General features: G+C 59.6%; 3 protein-coding genes across 10 annotated transcripts, besides 13 other annotated features; 1 reads left to right on the top strand and 2 right to left on the bottom strand.

Annotated features, from left to right (window-relative positions):
- Nucleotides 11-511: an enhancer, noted in NCBI's record as "H3K4me1 hESC enhancer chr20:32262761-32263261 (GRCh37/hg19 assembly coordinates)". NCBI's record gives its function as "activates a minimal SCP1, AML or CMV promoter by ChIP-STARR-seq in naive and primed H9 embryonic stem cells {active_cell/tissue: H9 hESC(naive and primed)}" and the evidence as "EXISTENCE:reporter gene assay evidence [ECO:0000049][PMID:30033119]".
- On the top strand, nucleotides 118-18,379 carry NECAB3 (N-terminal EF-hand calcium binding protein 3). 8 transcript variants are annotated; one of them, XM_047440370.1, is made up of 13 exons: nucleotides 118-400; nucleotides 3,044-3,068; nucleotides 4,674-4,782; nucleotides 5,754-5,779; nucleotides 5,994-6,091; nucleotides 15,071-15,207; nucleotides 15,463-15,581; nucleotides 15,734-15,813; nucleotides 15,916-15,969; nucleotides 16,632-16,744; nucleotides 16,912-16,989; nucleotides 17,433-17,524; nucleotides 17,609-18,379. In XM_047440370.1, exons 5-13 carry the CDS (start codon nucleotides 6,074-6,076, stop codon nucleotides 17,635-17,637), a joined length of 720 nt encoding a protein of 239 aa, XP_047296326.1. In that variant the 5' UTR covers nucleotides 118-400; nucleotides 3,044-3,068; nucleotides 4,674-4,782; nucleotides 5,754-5,779; nucleotides 5,994-6,073; the 3' UTR covers nucleotides 17,638-18,379. The 8 variants fall into 8 exon arrangements, with proteins under 8 accessions (XP_047296326.1, XP_047296325.1, NP_112508.3 ...); NM_031231.4 differs by lacking the exon at nucleotides 118-400 and adding an exon at nucleotides 1,038-1,242; XM_047440369.1 differs by having other exon boundaries at nucleotides 15,734-15,969.
- Nucleotides 698-1,327: a silencer, noted in NCBI's record as "silent region_12818". NCBI's record gives its function as "represses an Ori minimal core promoter by ATAC-STARR-seq in GM12878 lymphoblastoid cells {active_cell/tissue: GM12878}" and the evidence as "EXISTENCE:reporter gene assay evidence [ECO:0000049][PMID:35858748]".
- Nucleotides 698-1,729: a biological region, named in NCBI's record as "H3K27ac-H3K4me1 hESC enhancer GRCh37_chr20:32261543-32262090".
- Nucleotides 1,182-1,729: an enhancer, noted in NCBI's record as "H3K27ac-H3K4me1 hESC enhancer chr20:32261543-32262090 (GRCh37/hg19 assembly coordinates)". NCBI's record gives its function as "activates a minimal SCP1, AML or CMV promoter by ChIP-STARR-seq in naive H9 embryonic stem cells {active_cell/tissue: H9 hESC(naive)}" and the evidence as "EXISTENCE:reporter gene assay evidence [ECO:0000049][PMID:30033119]".
- Nucleotides 1,730-2,277: an enhancer, noted in NCBI's record as "H3K27ac-H3K4me1 hESC enhancer chr20:32260995-32261542 (GRCh37/hg19 assembly coordinates)". NCBI's record gives its function as "activates a minimal SCP1, AML or CMV promoter by ChIP-STARR-seq in naive H9 embryonic stem cells {active_cell/tissue: H9 hESC(naive)}" and the evidence as "EXISTENCE:reporter gene assay evidence [ECO:0000049][PMID:30033119]".
- Nucleotides 2,826-3,375: an enhancer, noted in NCBI's record as "H3K27ac-H3K4me1 hESC enhancer chr20:32259897-32260446 (GRCh37/hg19 assembly coordinates)". NCBI's record gives its function as "activates a minimal SCP1, AML or CMV promoter by ChIP-STARR-seq in primed H9 embryonic stem cells {active_cell/tissue: H9 hESC(primed)}" and the evidence as "EXISTENCE:reporter gene assay evidence [ECO:0000049][PMID:30033119]".
- On the bottom strand, nucleotides 6,941-8,523 carry ACTL10 (actin like 10). The gene has a single exon (NM_001024675.2). It carries the CDS (start codon nucleotides 7,966-7,968, stop codon nucleotides 7,231-7,233), a length of 738 nt encoding a protein of 245 aa, NP_001019846.1. The 5' UTR covers nucleotides 7,969-8,523; the 3' UTR covers nucleotides 6,941-7,230.
- Nucleotides 7,721-7,800: an enhancer, noted in NCBI's record as "active region_17739". NCBI's record gives its function as "activates an Ori minimal core promoter by ATAC-STARR-seq in GM12878 lymphoblastoid cells {active_cell/tissue: GM12878}" and the evidence as "EXISTENCE:reporter gene assay evidence [ECO:0000049][PMID:35858748]".
- Nucleotides 8,151-8,480: a silencer, noted in NCBI's record as "silent region_12817". NCBI's record gives its function as "represses an Ori minimal core promoter by ATAC-STARR-seq in GM12878 lymphoblastoid cells {active_cell/tissue: GM12878}" and the evidence as "EXISTENCE:reporter gene assay evidence [ECO:0000049][PMID:35858748]".
- Nucleotides 8,611-8,830: an enhancer, noted in NCBI's record as "active region_17738". NCBI's record gives its function as "activates an Ori minimal core promoter by ATAC-STARR-seq in GM12878 lymphoblastoid cells {active_cell/tissue: GM12878}" and the evidence as "EXISTENCE:reporter gene assay evidence [ECO:0000049][PMID:35858748]".
- Nucleotides 10,681-11,617: an enhancer, noted in NCBI's record as "H3K27ac-H3K4me1 hESC enhancer chr20:32251655-32252591 (GRCh37/hg19 assembly coordinates)". NCBI's record gives its function as "activates a minimal SCP1, AML or CMV promoter by ChIP-STARR-seq in naive and primed H9 embryonic stem cells {active_cell/tissue: H9 hESC(naive and primed)}" and the evidence as "EXISTENCE:reporter gene assay evidence [ECO:0000049][PMID:30033119]".
- Nucleotides 11,264-11,423: an enhancer, noted in NCBI's record as "active region_17737". NCBI's record gives its function as "activates an Ori minimal core promoter by ATAC-STARR-seq in GM12878 lymphoblastoid cells {active_cell/tissue: GM12878}" and the evidence as "EXISTENCE:reporter gene assay evidence [ECO:0000049][PMID:35858748]".
- C20orf144 (chromosome 20 open reading frame 144) lies at nucleotides 11,558-13,139 on the bottom strand. Its single transcript, NM_080825.4, has 2 exons — nucleotides 12,995-13,139; nucleotides 11,558-11,934 (listed from the first exon to the last, which is right to left on the bottom strand). The coding sequence occupies exons 1-2, from the start codon at nucleotides 13,118-13,120 to the stop codon at nucleotides 11,599-11,601; spliced, it is 462 nt and encodes a 153-aa protein (NP_543015.1). The 5' UTR covers nucleotides 13,121-13,139; the 3' UTR covers nucleotides 11,558-11,598.
- Nucleotides 11,618-12,556: an enhancer, noted in NCBI's record as "H3K27ac-H3K4me1 hESC enhancer chr20:32250716-32251654 (GRCh37/hg19 assembly coordinates)". NCBI's record gives its function as "activates a minimal SCP1, AML or CMV promoter by ChIP-STARR-seq in naive and primed H9 embryonic stem cells {active_cell/tissue: H9 hESC(naive and primed)}" and the evidence as "EXISTENCE:reporter gene assay evidence [ECO:0000049][PMID:30033119]".
- Nucleotides 11,664-11,853: a silencer, noted in NCBI's record as "silent region_12816". NCBI's record gives its function as "represses an Ori minimal core promoter by ATAC-STARR-seq in GM12878 lymphoblastoid cells {active_cell/tissue: GM12878}" and the evidence as "EXISTENCE:reporter gene assay evidence [ECO:0000049][PMID:35858748]".

The raw sequence follows: 18,577 nt of genomic DNA, 5'->3' as shown, positions 1-18,577 counted from the left end.
AGTGCTGCCCGAAGTGCAGAGTAATGAGTGGCCTCTCCTTTCCCCAGCCCCAGAGGCCACTCTGCTCAGTTTGCTGTCTTCCTTCCAGACGTTTCTGGACATTAGTAAACATGTAACAAATACAGTGGGCTGGTTCTGTGTCAGGTATTTAACAGTTCTGGGGACACGGGTGTTACCTCCTTTCATGGTGCTCTCAGGGTCTGAAAGAGGAGATCTGCATAAATGAGAAAATCGGGAAAGGCGTTCTGGAATGGGTGGTGCTTAAGCTGAGCGCTGTAAAATAAGTAGGAGTTAACCAGAGGAAGAAAACACCAAGCAGAGGACACGATGGGCAAAGGCCTTGGGCAGGAGGGAGCGGGATAGAGGACCGGAGAGAAAGCAGTGTGGCTGCGGTCCTGAGGTGAGGGTCAGAGTGGTGCTCCTGGAGTGGGGCGTTCAGTCTTAAGCTTTATTCAGGGGCCAAGGAGTCACTGGAGACCGAAGTGACACCTCCTCTTTCGCATCTTAAAAGCTCCCCCCGGCTGCTGTGTGGAGAACGGGTTGAAGGGAGGGCCAGAGTCACGGAGGGGAGGGGAAAGGGCTGCGCTTAGTGCCAGAGAGGGCGGGCGTCGGGATGCCTGGGATTCGGCCGCACGGACCTGTGGGCTTCCTCTGCGCCAGCCCCCGTTGTAAGCACTTGACATTGAATGAGTCCCAACAATTGCATAGGGTGTCTGCCAGTACCATTTTTGTAGATGAGGATACAGACGCCCCAAAAGGTGAAGTCCTGGTGGGTTTTACCCACTTGTGTCACCCTGACCTCGGCACTGGCTTGGTCATCCTGTCCCTCTGGGTAGGCCCGCAGCCCCTAGGTTCTGCTCCCGACAGGCCGTCGCGGGACCGGAGCCCTCGGGCGCCTCCCCCTCCGCCGTGGCCGCGGAAGCGCGGAGGCCCGCGGCGCTGGAGTTGGACCTTGAGGCGAGGGAACCCGGCGTCCGCGGGGGCGGGGCGGGGGCGGGGCCTGAGCCCGCGCGTCGGCGCCGGCGCCAAGGGGCGGCCTCTAGCCACACCGAGTCCGCCGCGGCGTCCAGGGTCGGCAGCAACCGCAGCCGAGCCCGAGCGGGTGGCGGCGCCATGGCGTGCGCGGGGCTGCTCACCGTGTGCCTGCTCCGGCCGCCCGCGCCCCAGCCCCAGCCCCAGACCCCGCGGCACCCCCAGCTCGCGCCCGACCCGGGGCCCGCCGGACACACGCTCTTCCAGGACGTGAGTGGGCGCGGGCTCTGCTCGCGGTGTCTCCCTACCCGAGTCTCTGTTAGTCTCACCCTCCGGGGTTGTTCGGGCCCCGCCGCTGTTTCTGGGTCTCTTCCCCTCTCTCTGGCCCTGCTGTTTTCTCTTGACCTTTCTGCCCTTGTGTGACCTGTTCTGTCTCTCCATGTCTCCTCTTGTCCCTGCTCCAGTGTCACTGCCCCTGCTGCCTCCCACCCCTCAGCCCACCCCATTTGTGTGTCTGGTGTTGGCGGGGGGCTGGCGACAATCACAGCAGCGGTCACCCCACTCTGTGGCAGCTCCAGGCTGGGCTGACTGGGGAAGGGGAGCCTGGAAACGCAAGGGCCCCTCACTCCTGACTCTAGTGCCGCCCCCAGAGTTCTTCAGGCCCCACTCCAGGGCAGCAGAGTCCTACAGTTGGTAAGGGCTGCTCAGAGTCACCCTCCCATGGGGCCATGGGTGGCCCTGCGGCCACCATGGGCACCAGCCACGGCCCTGAGCCCTTTCTCCACCGTTCACCGCTGTGCTCGGCTCTGTCCTGGCCCCCTCATGCCCCAACTCCAGAGGGAGGCAAAGCTGTCTCCCACCCCCTCCCCACTGCCCCTAGTGACTCAGCACCTTGACCACAGCCCTGGCTGGAAGGGACCTGACCCTCCTTCTTCCCAAGTAGGAAAACCAAGGCCTGAGGGGATATGTCTCAGGTCAGTCATGGAGGCAGGGATACAATAGGGTGACCCCAGATGTCCCCATTCCCAGCTTAGCACCCCTGCCCACTCCCAAGATCTCCATCTACCCTACCTGGGCCTCCCTGGCTTGCTGCGTGCCCCTCAGCCAGTGGCAGACCTTCTCTGAGTTAGGCTAGAGGTTAGAGTCTTTCCTGAGCCCCACTGACCCTGACAAAACAGGACCCTGGAGGGGGCTGGCGTTCAGGACCTGGAGTTCATGGGGGCTCTCGGCCCAGGCTTGGCCCACCCCTGCTTGCCAGGCCTGCCAGTCTCCCCTTTGCTGGGCTGCTTTGGGTGACCTGGGAGCAGGTCACTAAGAGAGACGGGGACCTGTCTTGACTCTGCTCCTCTCTGCCTCTGTTGCTCTTCATCTCCACTTCTCCATAAATGAAATCTGCCGAACTTGCCTTCTGCCACCCCCACTCCCCCTTGGACGTGTGTGTGTACACACACGCCTGCCGAAGGTCCTCAGAGTCAGCCCCATAGGAAGCCCCAGCCCTGAAAGAGTTAACCCCAGCTGCTCCTGATCTATTTGCTAGTGGGTAACTCAGGCGCCTGCAGAGACAGAGTAGCCACTGCCTGCTGTTGGTTTTCAACAGCACGCAAGGAAACAGCTCAGAGAGGGCAGCTGGGGTAGACCATGGCCACACAGCAGAGCTCGGGGCTCAGGTCTAGGACGGCTGTGCAAGATTCCTGGGCCACAACCTGGCCCATCTCCTCAACCTTCCTCAAGCTGGAACTGTGCCAGGGGCTGATGTATCAGATAGAACTTGGGCTGCACTCTGGGTGTGGGAGGTGGGGACGCAGGGGACTGGCCAGGAGCACCCCCCACGAGGCCAGGCCCTGCAGGAGAAGTGAGCAGAGGTGGCACCCGCTGCGTGCTCTTCCTGTGCCCCGCTTGCAGGAAAAGCTCCTGCAGGGCTGAGCTGGGCAGGTGGTTTGGGACCAGGCTGGGCGGGAGGAAAGGCGAGGCAGGGGGTAGGTCGGCCAGCTGGGACCCTGTCGGGTTGAGTGGGGGCCTCTGGCTTCCCAGGTGGCACTCACAGTTCTCTCTATGTCCCTTTGTCCTCTAGGTTTTCCGCAGAGCAGACAAGAATGGTGAGTGTGGCTTCCCCTGGGTCCCACAGTGGGGCAGGGTGGGAGGCATCCAGGAGGCCCAGGGAGAGTTGGGAGGTTGGGTGGGAAGTCAAGAGTTGAGACAAATCTTGGGGGCCCAAAACAGGAGAATCAATCAAGGCACTTCCCAGAGGAAGTGCTGTTCTCAGCCAAGTTTGGCAGGATGGAGAGTGGAGAGAATGTGGTTTGGCCACGGACTGGAGATAGGGGCTGACTTTCACACAGCACCCTGGCATGGTGATGGGCACTTCCTGTACGTGGCCCTCTGTTGTCCTCACAACCACCAGCTAGATTGGAATTCACCCTATTTCATAAAGGAGCAGAGGGCCAGAGAGGTGAAGCAAGTTGCCTAAGGTCACACAGCCTTTAATTGATAGGCTCGAACTTGGGTCTTTGCAGCATTTAATCCCAGGCTCCTTGTGTGAGGCACTTGGAAGAGTGAGGTAATGGAGATGAGGCCTTTTTGGAGATTTTACTCAGGTTTTTAGAGGGCTCAGTAACTTGTCATGTGACCAACCATCTGGACCAGGGAGGTCTTGGAGGACACAACTAAACCCACGCCTTGGGCAAGGATAAAGCTGGGTCCAGTGCCAAAGGAGTCGGCTCCTCCTGCCTTGGGTCCTGGGCAGTCTCAGACCCTGGTCTGGGAGAAACTTGGAAGCTAAAGCAGGAGCCCTAGGGGACCCATCCAGCAACAGGCTGCTCCCCCTAGATGACTTGGAGCAGCCCACTGTGCCCTGTGTGGCCCGTGGAGGGTCTGAGCTTCGCAGTCAGCCTGGGGCTCCTTTCATCTGGGTCTTCACGCCCTCTTGTGTTTCATCCTCCTAGAGACGGGGTCCTGTCCCCACTCTTTGCCCCTTCTCCTTGGGTCTCTTCAAATTGATGGGGATTGTTTGTCCCAACCCATTGATCAGGACACATGCTCTCACTTGGACCAGGGAGTTCTGTCTGGGGAGGTTCAGATCCTCCCCCGGGTCAGCTCCCCGCACCCATCTGCTCAGAGACCTCACACATCATTCAGGCCAAATCCCATGTCTTTGTCCCACATAAGTACTCCCAGCCTCTGCTTACATGCCCCTGTGATGGGGAGCTCATTCCCTTCTGAGCCAGCCTGCTGCTGCCTACAGAGGCTCCAACTAGTAGGAGGATTCCATCTGCCTCCCCGTGGCTTCTCTGTGAAGGTCCTGGGTCCAGAGAATGGAGGTTCCTTGTGCCCTGCAGTGAGGCTGGTCCCCAAGTCCTTCCAGGTGACATCTAGGCCCTGCCACAATGTGGCCGTGTCCCAGCCTGTTGCTTGTTTTTTCACTTGGCAAACATTTACTGAGTTCCTACCCAACGCTATGTACATACTGCCCTGTCCCTTTGGTGCCTGCAAAGTAGGTTCTGTTGCCTTCACTGGACACCTTCAAGGACCCCAGTCCTTTTGTCCCCAACAGTCAGGCCCCCCACTGACCTCAGACTCCCATCTCACCTAGCTAGATGGTTGTCAGATGCTATGAGGCCTTTGGGACCCTGGACCTGGTGGCAGGGGTGCAGTCAGGGTCAGGGATACCTCCTCTGCTCCCTGTCCTCCCCCTGCCACCCCAGATGATGGGAAGCTCTCATTTGAGGAATTCCAGAATTACTTTGCCGATGGGGTTCTCAGCCTGGGGGAGCTGCAGGAACTGTTCAGCGGCATTGATGGGCATCTCACCGAGTGAGTATGAGAGGGGGCCGTGGGTAGATGCGAGGCCAGGTTGTCTTTACCCCACTGTGTCCCCTGCTGCCTTGGTTCCTTTTGTAGGATGAGGAAGAGGGGGCAGGGAGAAAGGTACCAGGGCTCAGTTCCAACTTTACCCGCCTGCCTACCCCCTCTCCAGCTACAGCCTTGCCCACTACACTGCTTCCAGCTGGGACCCCAAAATAGCCAAGTCTGAGTCACCACCCATGGCTCAGCTCCCCATTCCCGCTTCCCACAGGGACCAGAGGATGCCTGGGGACAGCTGGGCCCCGCCTGCTTCCACCCGAGAATGCAGTGCATAAACACGCAACCATCTACCCCTTGTGTGCTCCCACATCTACGCGTCTTGGCAGGAGTGTGCACGCTCCTTCCCGTGCCTGCTCCCAGGGGTGCACACGCATGAACCGCTGTTACTCCCTCTACTTCCCTTCTCCCCTTTCCTGAGGGTCAGTCTCAGGCTCCTGAGACTTGGGCTGGAACCTTCATCTGCAGTGCTTCCCCTCCCCTCCTGGCCAGACTCCCCACCCAGTTCCTTGTCCTTCAGGGCCTCACTTAGGCAGCTCTTCCTCTAGGAAACCCTCCCTAACCTACAACTAAATACCCCATGCCGTCCCTGGACTTCATTGCCTTGCACCTGGCTTCCCCTTCGCAGCTCTGACCACTTCTCACTGGCCTGTGTCCACATCCATCTTCCCCTGGCCTGAGATCCTCTTGGTAGCCAAGAATGGGTCTGAATCTTTGCCCTTAGAGTGATTGGTGGGGGCAGTAGAACCCATTCTCCAACCCTGCAAGGACTCTGTCCACAGGAGCAACTTAATCTGGGGTGGAGCAGAAGTGGCCTTGTTAGGCTAAGCTGGGAGTTGGTGGGGTGGGATGTGGGGCATTGGCCCCATTAGTCCCAGTTTACCAGGCCCAGGTCTGAAGGGCGCCTTCTCTTTTCCCTGCAGCAATTTAGAAACAGAAAAACTGTGTGGTGAGTAGGCCCATGGGAGCTCTTTTCTCCTGTGGCCCCTGGGCCCCAGGGTACGTGTGGCAAGGGACTGTTGCTGGTCTCCTGATGGGACAGGTTGGGCTGGGCTCAGGATATAAGGCCTGCTTGGCTGCTGAGGAATTCCAGGGGGCCAGAATCCCAGGGTGGGTAGATGGGTGGGGGTCCAGGAACCCTTGAGCACCTCTTCTGCCTGCAGACTACTTCTCAGAGCACCTGGGTGTCTACCGGCCGGTGCTGGCTGCATTGGAATCGCTGAACCGTGCAGTGCTCGCTGCCATGGATGCCACCAAGCTGGTGAGTGGAGTGGCTGATGGTGGGGGATCCACTGTGAGGCAGTGGGCATCTGCTGTGCTGTGGGATCCTCCACAGTCTTGACTCAGGGTTATAGAGCTAGGGGCTTGGGTTCAAATCCTGGCTCCCACTTTGTAGCTGTGCCCCTTGACCTCTCTGGGCCTGTTTCCTCATCTGTAAACCATCATAACAATAGAGCTGCCCTTCATACATCACTGTGACCAGTGAGAACGAAGGCAGGGATTTTTGTCTGTTTTATTCTGTTTCCAGCACCCAGAATAATGTCTGGCATACACTGGGTGCTTCATACTAGGGGCTGCTGTTGCTTTAGTTGCTGGCCCATCACAACTGTGGTGGGATATCATTCAGGGCTGGGCTAGGCGTGGAAGGCTGTGCTCACAGGTTCACAGGGCAGGGCCTGGCCCGAGGACATACGTGAGTAGGCAGGTACGTGAACACCCACGCGTTTGTGTGGACACGTGTATACACAAGCTCGAACAGTGCTGATAGCCAGGGCTTGAGGCCCTTGAGTGGTGACTTCCAAAAAATAAGCTGCCCTTCCCTTTGTGTGTTCAAGAAATATCTCCACCTCCCTTTGCTCCATAGCTCTTGTAAGGGGGAGGGAGCAGTGAGCAGGCCCGGGATTGTGCCTGACCCCACTTTTTACAGAAGGGGAAACTGAGGCACTCATAGTCAACAATGACCTGAGCACATGGCTAGGCACAGGGCTCCTCCTCCTGGTGACTTTCACATGAGATTTAGTAGCTTTTCAAGGGATCGCCCCTTGGGGCCTGGCATCGGATGTATGTCCAAATGGTACATGACGAGGGTTTGGAGGAACTCCCATATCTGTGGCATGGACACAAGTGGGGCATCACCTTTATTGCCATAAAGTAGGGCCCTGTGGGTAGGCAGCTGGACTGGCATTCTCTGAACTGGCAGTGGTTGGGGAGATTCAAACTGCAGTTCAAAATGAGGGTCCCATGGGTCCCAAATACCTTCTCCTGGCCCAGAAAGGGTATGGGGGTGACCCATCCAGTCAGCTCCAACCTCCAGGAGGACCCTGCCAGCTCCAAACACTTGACTCTTTAGATAGAGAGCTGTCCCCCAACGCAGTGCCACCCCCCCCAGTCCAGCCTGACTCAGTTGAACACATCGTACAGCAGCCTGGAGCCACACTCCTGGTACATGGCCCGAGTTATCCAGCGGCGCTGGAAGGAGTGCAGGGAGGCCACCATGGAGCCGCCGGTCCACACAGCCATGCCACGCCCATGCTTGGCCACCAGGTGGGGCCGCAGGGCCGCGTAGCCGTGCCGCCGGCACTGCGCCTCCAGCTCCTTGTCCAGGCGCTCGGCGAAGCCAGGAAACAGTGTGGAGCCGCCGGCTAGCACCACGGTGTCTGCCAGGCGTGTCCGCAGCGTTTTGGGCATCTTCTGCAGCGCCCGGAAGGCCAGCGCGGGCAGCCCCTGCTCAGCCTGGCCCAGCAGGCCCGGCTGGAAGATGGGTTCGGGGCAGCGGAAGCGCTCACTGCTGAGGCAGACGCAGCACCCGTTACCCACGCTGAAACTGGCCGGATGGTGGCGGGCGGGGTCGCGGAGGTCGCCCTCGAAGTCCAGGGACACGTAGCAGCTGCGCTTCTTGAGATGTGTGATGGCCTTGCGGGGCAGGGCCTGCTGCAAGAGGTCAGGGTTCGCCGCCACCAGCAGATCCCGCAGGTAGCGCGACAGGGTGCTGCCTGCCACGTTCAGTCGGAAGGTGGCCTGGTGCCACGAGTGACCCGCGTAGATGGGCGTGGCGTGGCACACGCCCGCGCCCGCCTCCACGGCCAGCCCGCTGAACGCGCCGGTGGAGCAGAGCGCCAGCAACGCGGTGCTAGCCATGTGGCACGCGGGCACTGCCAGGGTCTCGAACAGCAGCTCCGCCACCCTTTCGCGGCCCGCGGGCGGCGCCAACGGCGAGTCGCTCACCAGCACGGGCCACTGCTCTGGGCACACCCGCAGGCCGCCCACCAGCAGGCGCTCCCACAGCCCTTCCAGCGCCTCCCAGTCCGCCACCACGCCGTGCTTGATGGGGTGCGCCCGCGCCACGCCGCCCGCCAGCTCGCAGCCCGGCGCTCCGGGCAGCACCGGCCGGTCCCAGCTGGGCACCAAGCTAGAGCTCTTCAGCACTATGCGCGGCTGGTTCTCGCCCGCGAAGCCCGCCTTGGTGAAGCCCGAGCCCTGGTCCACCACCACCGCGATGCGGCCCAGGGAGGACGGCCGGTGCACGCGGCGGCTCCCCGACACCGACGCCACCTTCGGGCTCGGCCCAGCCGCGGGGCTGAAGGCTCCGCTCCTCCGCGCCACTCGGCTTCGTCGGCCCGATACCTCCCGGCCTCTGTCCTAGGGAGTAGTCCCCTTCAGCCTTTGGCTCTGCCTCCGGAGCCTAAGTTCTTCCTCTTCTGGACCAAATCACCACCCTTTTCAGCTCTTGGCTCCGCCCTCTGGTCTGAAAGCCCCGCCTCTTCTGTCCGGGCCATCCGCCTCCTTTTCAGCTCGTGGCTAGTTCCTAGGCCTGAGGCCCGGCCCCTAGTTCAGGCTTCAGTCTCCGCTCTGGCTGGGTTCCAGCCGCATCTCACCCTCTTGGTCTCCCTCTGGCGCCGGGCTTCAGGCTCCACGCTCTCAGGACCCGCCTCTGCTTTGCTGTTCCGCCCCGTCAGCCCTTGCTGAGATGGCTGACGAGATGGCTAGGACTGATCCTTTTAGATCCTAAGAAGCCCCCGGGAGGAGCAGAACTTTGAGGGCGAAGGGGCCTTGTGGTAAGGCCATTTGGACATATATCCCCCTTGAGGACCCAGGCAGCCTCCTGGCACCTCTCACCTGGGCTTGACGGAAGTTCCTGGTTGTGGAGAGGGGAGGGGCTGGTCAGAAGGCAGAAAAGAACTTGGATTGGGCTCATTGTGACCTCACTCCCCAGCAGCTGCACTTCGCAGCTCCCTACCTTATGACAACTCCCTGGACCCATCCTCTCTTCTGGACAGAGCCAAGGGCAGTGATTTTGGCATCCAGGGGTCTGGCTTCAGCAGCCCAGCACAGTCTGATTCCTTTCCCAAACCACTTAGAATTATCTGATGTACTCTGTCCAGATGTGTGGCCCCCTACCCCTCCCAGTGCTGAAGAAAAAGCTTTTTCATCACAGATCTGCAGCTTCCCTGAAGAGCCCCCGAGAGGCTCTGGCCCTACCTTTATGGGCTTCCACGGATGGATTCACGTGGGCCTCAGTTTGAGACTCAGTTCTTTTTTTTATTATTATTATTTTTGAGACGGAGTCTCGGTCACCCAGGCTGGGCGTGCAGCGTTGCAATCTCAGCTCAGTGCAACCTCTGCCTTCCGAGTTCAAGTGATTCTCCTGCCTCAGCCTCCTGAGTAGCTGGGACTACAGGCATGCACCACCATACGCGGCTAATTTTTGTATTTTTAGTGGAGACAGGGTTTCGCCACGTTGGCCAGGCTGGTCTCGAACTCCTGACCTCAGGTGATCCACCTGCCTTGGACTCCCAAAGTGCTAGGATTACAGGTGTGAGCCACCGCACCCAGCAAGACTCAGTTCTGAAGCTGACTCACTGTGCAGTCCTAAGCAAGTCTTGATCTTTCTCTGGGTTCGGTTTTCTCCTCCAAAAGGTAGTAATAATCCCCCCACACAGGAAAGAGGTCACTTCTTGTCTCTGCAAAGCCTCATCCTCCTGAGGACCAGTTTGGTTGCAGGTAGAAGACTCAGGTGAATGTAACCCAAAATAAGGACTTTATTGAAAGGATCTTACATGTTATGGATATCAAGAGCAAGGGTGAAATCAGGTTTCAGGAACAGAATCTGACTGCGGGGCTGTGGGGAACCCAGGATGTGCACTGCATTGTGTTGTTTGTTTTTTGAGATGGAGTCTCGCTCTCTTGCCCAGGCTGGAGTGCAGTGGTGTGATCTCAGCTCACTGCAACCTCTGCCTCCTGGGTTCAATTCCCCTGCCTTAGTCTCCCGAGTAGCTGGGACTACAGGCGCCCGCCATGATGCCTGGCTAGTTTTTTGTATTTTTAGTAGAGACGGGGTTTCACCGTGTTAGCCAGGATGGTCTCGATCTCCTGACCTCGTGATCTGCCTGCCTCAGCCTCCCAAAGTGCTGGGTTTACAGGCGTGATCCACTGCGCTTGGCCTGCATTGTGTTTTTATTCTGAAGGCTGGCTTAGCCTGTGCATGTTCAAGTAGAGAACATGGTCTCTTACAGCTCCTGAATCACAGTCCTAGGGGGAGGGGCTGACAGGACCAGCTTGGGCCAATCACTGTATGGGCAGGAGGTGCAGCCCCATGGAAGAACATGGTTACCCTGATTGTAACCATGTGGATGGTAGGGAAGAGTCAGTTCTCACAATTAGCAGGAGTGATGTTATAGCTCTTGCAGCCTCCAGCCTGGTGCAGGCAAGGTGGAGGAGATGTTCATCCTGGTGGCGGTGACAAAAGTGCATCTTCAGCAGAAGCTGGGCTGATGGCTGTAGTGAGCTGGGACTTCAGTCCTGCTGCATCTGCCCCCAAAAGAGGGCATCCTGAGGTTGGTCACCAGAGTGTGGCAGGAAGGCGGGCTGCAGGTTTGGCAGGCCAGGGGTGGCATTGGGTGTGGAGCTGGATTTGGGACCCGGGAGAGTGAGGAGAAGCAGCAGCAGGATCCCGCCCACAGAAAGTGTGGCAGGGCTTCTTCTAAGTGATTTGGGGAGTGAGACTGAAGCTGTGGGCTTTTTCCCTGTTGGTAATGGAGACCTGTTGAAAGCTTATGAGCAGGGGAGTGAGCTGCCCTAGACAGGTAAGTGGTTTGGAATTAGTCTTTGTCACGTGGGGAAGGAGATGGGACAGGGTAGGTTGGGAGACAGGTGCCTTGGGGAAGACTGGGGGGCCTGAATGCTTTGGGGTTACCAAGCACAATGTGTAGGAGTGAGGGGCCAGAGAGAGGCCCAGGGCTTCCAGCTTCTCCTGGGTGCGTCCCCAGGCAGAATCCACGTCTCAGGCCTTGCCCCAGCTGACTGCCATCCTGGCTGTTCTTACCCAGGATGGTGCCTGTTGGCCGGGAACCCTCCCTCATGCCTAAGAGGGATTTCTGGATGCTGGGGGGATGTCAGGCTTTACCGGAAGCAGGTCCCTCTCACTAGCGTGGCCAAGCCTGGGTTTGCCCAAGCCCACCTCCCTTGAGCCTGCAGACTGGGCAGGATGTGACCTGGATTTGGAGTGTTGGGGGAAGGAAACTGCCTCCCGCCACTGTAGCAAGGTTTGGGGTTCTGTTCTGACCCTTGGCACAAGGAAGGAGAAAGCAAAAGACAGCCCTGGCTCCAGACCGTGGCGATGGCTCTGCCTTCATCACGCCCCGTTCACCCCTCTGCGGCTCCTAGGCTGAGCTTTGCCCACCCCGACTCCGCGCCCAGACGCCTCCGACAGGGTTCGCAGGCGCCAGGGTTGCCACGCACTCTTTATTGGGCGGGGTCCGGGCCAAGCGTTTAAAGCTGCGGGCGAGGGCAGCGGCACCGTTTGCGCGGCTGCTCCTCGGCGGGGCCGGCTTCGCGGGGAGCCTTCCCCGGGGACCGGAAGCGCGAGAGCAGCCGCGGCCAGCTCAGAGCTGCCCTGGCCCCGCCCTCTTCCGGCCGCCGCGCCTCTTGCCGCCGCAGCAGCAGCAGTACCGGCATCCTCGGCTCGCGCTCGCTACCTTCGCCCGCTCCGCGCAATCTGGGTGCCGCCGGGGAGCCCAGCCCAGCGCCGGACGCGTAGTCAATCCGTTGCCCAGCGTTGGCCAGCGGCTGCCGCTTGTCCAGGGGGAGAATCAGCACGATCCTGGTCTGGGGGTGGAACAGGGGCGTGAGGCGGGAGAGCGCGCTAGGGCCGAGCCCACGACCCGGGGCCGCTCCGCGCTTCTCCTGGGACCCTCGTCCACCCGGGTCCTGTCGTCCACCCGGGTCCTGTCATCCTCTCGTGCACAGGGCTGGAGGGGACCCCTGTCCAATTCAGGCCGCGGGGAAGCCCGCCCTTCCCTGCGTGGCGCCCCGGACTCCGCCTCCTTTCTGGAAACCCTCATCCATCCCAGGCTGACTTCCTGAGACCAGCTCCGTCTAAGTTTATGAGATCCCTTCCAGGCCCTATGTCAGGGGCTTTCAGCACCTCCCACCCCCGCCTGGTCCAGGGCTTCTGCTCATTTGAGAGGGAGACAGGGAAGTTCTGAGCCTAGGAGCTGAAGAGAGGACACTAGGGAATTCCCCCTGCCTCTAGCTCCAGTAGTACCAACTAGAACTGATTCTCCGTGTTGGGATCTCCACCCGTTCGTCCAGGGTTGGGAGAGAATCCCACTCATGCTCACCCCCCGGGGCTCTCAAGTCTCATCCACTTTCTGGTTCTGGAATCTCTGCCCTCCCTTCTGGGCTTTTTTTGTTTAAGACTGAGTCAAACAGGGTCTTGCTGTGTCCTACAGGCTGGAGCAGTGGTGCTGTCAACGGCTCACTGCATCCCTGACCTCCTGGGCTCACGTAGTCCACCTCAGTCTTCTGAGTAGCTGGGACTGCGGGCATTCACCACCACAACCAGCTAAGTTTTAATTTTTGTAGAGATGGGGCCTCCCTATGTTGCCCAGGCCAATCTCAAACTCCTGGGCTGAAGTTATCCACCCACCTTGGCCTACCAACGTGTTGGGATTACAGGCGTGAGCCACCTTGAAAGGACCCCCATCCACACCCATATGGGCTCCTGGGATCCTCATCCTTGGGAGAGATTTTCGAATTCCTCCCTCACCCCCTAGGACTTCTGCATACAAGGCCTAGACTCCCAGCATCCCTTCCCACCCACTTGTCCAGCTTTCTCTGCCCCCCAGCTGCCTCCCCAGCCCTGCTCCCCATCCCCCGCCCTCACAGCCGGCTTCTTCCGAGTGAGGTGGTTGAGGAACGATTTCCACCAGGCCTTGTCCATGTCAGCCGGCCTCTCCTTGCGGGCCTGCTTGGGTGCTTTGGTCCTTTTGTGGGAACTATAGTTTCCCATGGCAGGGCTGGTCACCACTGGGGACGATGGCCCACACTCCGTCTGCTCTGCCCCCTGGGCCCTGGCAACATTGTGACCTCACGGGCTGACCTCACCAATTGCAGGCTCTGAGCACCGCCTTCCAGGGCCCACAGGTGAATCTGGGCTCCACTCAGTCACTTCTAGCCTTGGTTTCTCAGCTGTAAAACTGGGCTAATGATCATAAATGAGGCAATGCATGTAAGGTGCTTAGTGGTGAATAGAGGGGGATTTCTGTGGTTTGGGTATGAATTTTGGCCCTGCTACTAACTTGCTATGTGACCTTAGCCCAGGTAATCAACCTCTCTGGACCTGTTTTCTCATCTGCAAAATGGGGTCAATTATGGTTCCTGTAAATTGTTACAAAGGTTAAATGAGGCCTGGCATGGTGGCTAATGCCTGTAGTCTCAGTACTTTGGGAGGCCGAGGCGGGTGGATCACCTGAGGTCAGGAGTTCGAGTCCAGCCTGGGCAACATAGTGAAACCCCGTCTCTACTAAAAATACAAACATTAGCCAGGTGTGGTGGCACAGGCCTGTAAACCTAGCTATTCAAGAGGCTGAGGCAGGAGAATTGCTTGAAGCTGGGAGGCAGAGGTTGCGGTGAGCCAAGATCATGCCGCTTCACTCCAGCCTGGGTGATACAGTGAGACTCTGTCTCAGAAAAACAAAAGACTAAATGAAATTCTTCTTGCAGTAGTGCTTGGCTCTGAGTGGGTGCTTCTGTCTGTTCTCTGGTTGAAAGCAACAGAAACTAATCATCTCAAATACCCAAAAAGGAATTTTTTGGGAAGATTTCATGGAGATAGAAACCCTGGCCTGTCTGAGAATGAAAAGACCCAGCCTCTTCTCTGTCCCTGTCTCCTAGCTCATAAGCCTGGCCCAGGAGGTCCCATCCGATGGCTGAGCTGAGGCAGGTCATGGCAGGAGATGAAGTCTCTGATGGATGGGGCTTCTGGAGTCTCCTCGGAGAGGGCAGGCACCTGGACTGCAGCTCCCCAGGACTCCCACCCTGATGCGTGTGTGTGTGTGTGGTAGGGGTTAGGCAATTCTCAGGACATCTGTGACTCCTGGGTGTACAAGTGGGCAGGCCCTTTATTGTATTACACTTGACGATAGATGGCTGGTAGGTCTGGCATCGAGAGCTTACGTGCCAGACCCTGGGCTGAGTCCTATGCAGGAATTAACTCCTGGGACGTTCTTGCAGCTCCATGTGCTGAGTTTCATCTTTCCTGTTTGATAGATGAGGAAATGGAAGCTCCAGGAACTGACGGTTGTTGAGGAGCCTCAGAATCCCATGCTGGGCCATGCAGGGCCTAGCATTTGGGCAGCCTCCCTGCCTCTCTGCCACCCTGAGAGGGGCTGGGAGGAGGCTGGCAGTGTCGGTTGGGGTCAGTGCCGGCGTGTGTGTCTGAGTGAGAATGGCAACCTGATTGTCTTTTATCAGCAGCTCCTAGTAAAAAGCACCCAGTGTTGTGTGTATGAGTGAATGAATGAATGAGTGAATACGTAGATTGTGAGTCTGGGGCCACACCACGCCATTATTTTGCCTTGTGTCAACATTGGCCCTTGGATACCTCGTGATAGCCCCCACCCAGCCTAGCTGTGGCTGGGACTCACTGGCTATGACAGTGCTGAAGGTGGTAGCCCCATCAGGGAAGGGGCCATGAGGTCCAGAGAGGCCAGGCACTTCGCTGGGCAGATGCCCCCTGTGAGTTGGCCTCACACCTCCGGGGAGGGAGGCCAGTCCCGGACAAGGAGGGATCCAGACCCTCCCTGCCCATCAGGTCTCAGTACCCTCCTGCCTGTGCCAGGTTTGCGTGCCCCTGCTCTTGGCACTGCCACCGCTGCTCTGATGGGCAAGAGGCAGGGGACCCACTCAAGAGATCAGTGCCCGGGCTGGGAGATGCTGACCGTCCCTCCTTGGCCCACAGGAGTACGAGAGGGCCTCCAAAGTGGACCAGTTTGTGACGCGCTTCCTGCTGCGGGAGACGGTGAGCCAGCTGCAAGCCCTTCAGAGCTCGCTGGAGGGGGCGTCAGATACCCTGGAGGCCCAGGCCCATGGCTGGCGGTATGTAAGGGTGCTGTCAACCTGTGGGGCTAGTGCACAAGCGCCCATTGTACCCCCATTCCAAATCCCCACAGTCCCAGCATCCTGGAGCCTGCATTTTCGGGCGGGGAAGCCATGGCAGGGTAGCCATGGCGGGGTGAAATGAGACTGGCTTTGGGGCTAGGCCTCGGAGTCCCAGGAGGCTTGTCTTCCCCACCCAGGCTTATCCCGTCCTGGGGCCCCAGTCCTCGGCCCTGTGAGCCTCACTTCCTCTAGGTCAGATGCAGAGAGCGTGGAGGCGCAGAGCAGGCTCTGCGGCAGCCGGCGGGCAGGACGCCGAGCCCTGAGGAGTGTCAGCCGGTCATCCACCTGGTCCCCCGGCTCTTCTGACACAGGTGCGCCTGGGGTGGGGTGGGAGGCCTGGCCGAGGCAGGCACCGCATCCCCCCTTCCCCCAGGGCCCGCTCCTTCACTGCCCCTCACTTCATTCTGAGCACCTGCGGGACCTGAGAGGCCCCTGCCTGACCCTGCACGGGCCCCACACACAGGGCGCAGCTCAGAGGCCGAGATGCAGTGGCGGCTCCAGGTGAACCGCCTCCAGGAGCTCATCGACCAGCTCGAGTGCAAGGTGAGGGCCGTGGGGCCAGGGCCCCACAAGGGAGGACCCTCCTGGTATCCACCAGAGCCAGGCCCATGCTGGAGGCCCGGCCCACACTCTGTGCCCTCACAGGCCCCCCGGCTGGAACCCCTGCGTGAAGAGGACCTGGCCAAGGGGCCTGACTTGGTGAGCCCAGGAGAGGGGCAAGCGGCTGGATGGCCGTGTCTGGGGGTGCTCATGAATTGGGGATTCATGGGGCCGGTTGCCCACCAACCCTCTGCAGTGCGCATGTGCCCCGCCCCCAGGCCTGGCAAGCAGGTGCCGGGTTCTGAGAACCTGCAGGAACCACCACCTTTCTCTGGGCTTTGGTTCCCCATCAGCATTTCCGAAAGCCAGGTCTGGGGCAGTGTGGACGGAAGCTGGAGGGTGGAAGGAAGTGGTGGCATACTGCAGGAGGAGGAACAGTGGCTGGATCAAGCAGCACCCTTGGAGACAGGGAGAAGAGGATGGAGACAGGGAGGCTGGGGGGCAGGTTGGCGGCAGGAACCCAGCTAAAGGGTAGGTTGGATCTGGCATCAGTCAAGAAGGCTAGGGGCCAGGTGTGATGGCTCATGCCTGTAATTCCAGCACCTTGGGAGGCCAAGGTGGGAGGATTACTTGAGCCTGGGAGATAGAAGCTGCAGTAAGCCGTGATCCCACACACCACTGCACTCCAGCCTGGGTGAGAGCAAGACCCTGTCTTAAAAAACAAACAAACAGAAAAACAGCTGAGAACCTCCTGGAGGCCACAGCCAGTCCCTCCCCTGTGCCCGGCCCCGCACCAGCTGACCGGCTGCCTCTCCCACCAGCACATCCTCATGGCCCAGAGGCAGGTCCAGGTGGCAGAGGAAGGCCTGCAGGACTTCCACCGAGCCCTGCGCTGCTATGTGGACTTCACAGGGGCCCAGAGCCATTGTCTGCAGTGAGTCCCCAGCTGGCAGGTGGGATGGCCAGTGGGGAGGGGGTGAGCAGAGAGGGGTGCTGGGGCTGGCCATCCTGGGTGGGTCAGGGTTCCCATGAGGCCCCAGGCCGGGGAGGCAGAGGTGGTGGCAGCCCTGGCCTGGCCTGCCCATCTCTTTGGCCCTACAGTGTGTCCGCCCAGAAGATGCTGGACGGTGCCTCCTTCACCCTGTATGAGTTCTGGCAGGATGAGGCCTCCTGGAGAAGGTATGAGTGCCAGTCTGGCCGCTAACACCATGGAATGTGGCCCTGGAGTGAGTCAGGCCAGGGTTCTAATTCTGCTCTCCCGCTCACTGGCTCTGTGACCTCAGATGAGTGACCCCACCTGCCCGAGCCCCCGAGTCCTTTCCAAAATGGAAGTGATAACAGTTCCAACTCCTATGGGCTAAAGGAGGTGACTGGGAAGAGCTGAATACAGCACAGGGACACAGGAGGCACTCAGTGAATACACACTTGTCACCATGTATGTGACAATGCCTATGCCAAGCACCGTGTGCAGTGCCCTTCATTCCACCCACACAGCTTCCCCGTGTCACAGGGGAGAGGACTGAGGCTCCAGAGGCAGTGTGAGAAGGGCCGGGGTCTGATCCTGGCAGCAGGATGGGGCGGGAGTGGGGAGAGCGAGGTCACTGTAGCCTGGGTCTCTGCAGGCACCAGCAGTCGCCTGGCAGCAAGGCCTTCCAGCGCATCCTCATCGACCACCTGCGGGCCCCGGACACCCTCACCACTGTGTTCTTCCCAGGTATGCGGTGGACCCCCACTCACTGTGGCCCTGGAGGGGCAGTGGGCTCCTGAGGGCTCCTGACCCCCTGCCTCTGACCCCCAGCCTCCTGGTGGATAATGAATAACAACTGAGCCAGACCTGCACACGCCGAGGGCCCCGGGACCCTGCCTGCCTCCCTCTGGAGCCTTCTGGACTGGCCAGCCCAGCGCAAAGACCAGGACTTGTCTCCTCCTGGACTTGGGCCTGGTGGAAGGGCTCTCAGCCCAGGGATCAGGGACTGGGCTGCTTGCTTTCTATTTATTATTGATTTATTTATCCCTGTATTTTATTGTTTGTCACTTCAGCCTCCAAGCTACTTTGGCTTCTGCCTGGCTCAGGAGACCTGGATTCTGGTCCCTGCTGTCCCTGCCTGGCTGAGCGACCCAGGGCAGGTCCCGTCCCTGTCTGGGTGGGCCTCAGGCCATCTGGCCGCCTAGCGAGGGTCCTGCTTTCTTCCTGCTGTCTTGGGACCAGGCTTCTGCTCCTCCTCAGCCAGCGGCAGAAGCAGGGCTGATGCTCAGGGACCCCCCAACCCTCAAACCTTGCCTCCGAGGCTGGGCCTGAGCTGGGTGCCCCGTCGCCCTCCCAGGCCACTAGGCTCTGACTCTTCCAGCACCCATGGATGTGCCAGAGGCCTCTGGGTTGGTTTGCATGTCATTTGCATATCGTTTGCATGCCCTCATCCCACCCATTCTCAGGGCAGTATGGGAAGCCCCAAGGTGACCTGGCCAAGTAGCAATAATTTGGGTCCAGGGTCACCTATTGCCCCCAGAGGCCTCTGAACCCCAGGCTGGGACCCCAGCACAGAGGCAATAAAGGCAGTGGTCCCTTCCAGTGTTGCCTCCTGTCTCGCAGGTCTGGGCTGTGGGGCCTGTGCGCCTCCCAGGCCAGAAGCTCCAGGCAGGGCACCTCTCTTGGGAAGCCCCCGGGTTCCCACCTTGTGCCCTCACGCTCGCAGAGTGGATGCTCACAAGAGCTGACGCAAGTTTTCCCACTTCAGGGTCCCTGGCCCTGACACACCCTGGTGCTGGG

The sequence above is a fragment of the Homo sapiens genome, chromosome 20, assembly GCF_000001405.40.
Source record: "Homo sapiens chromosome 20, GRCh38.p14 Primary Assembly".
Lineage (NCBI taxonomy): Eukaryota > Metazoa > Chordata > Mammalia > Primates > Hominidae > Homo > Homo sapiens.
The sequence above is the reverse complement of the archived record's forward strand: the minus strand, read 5'-3'. Positions and strand labels throughout refer to the sequence as shown.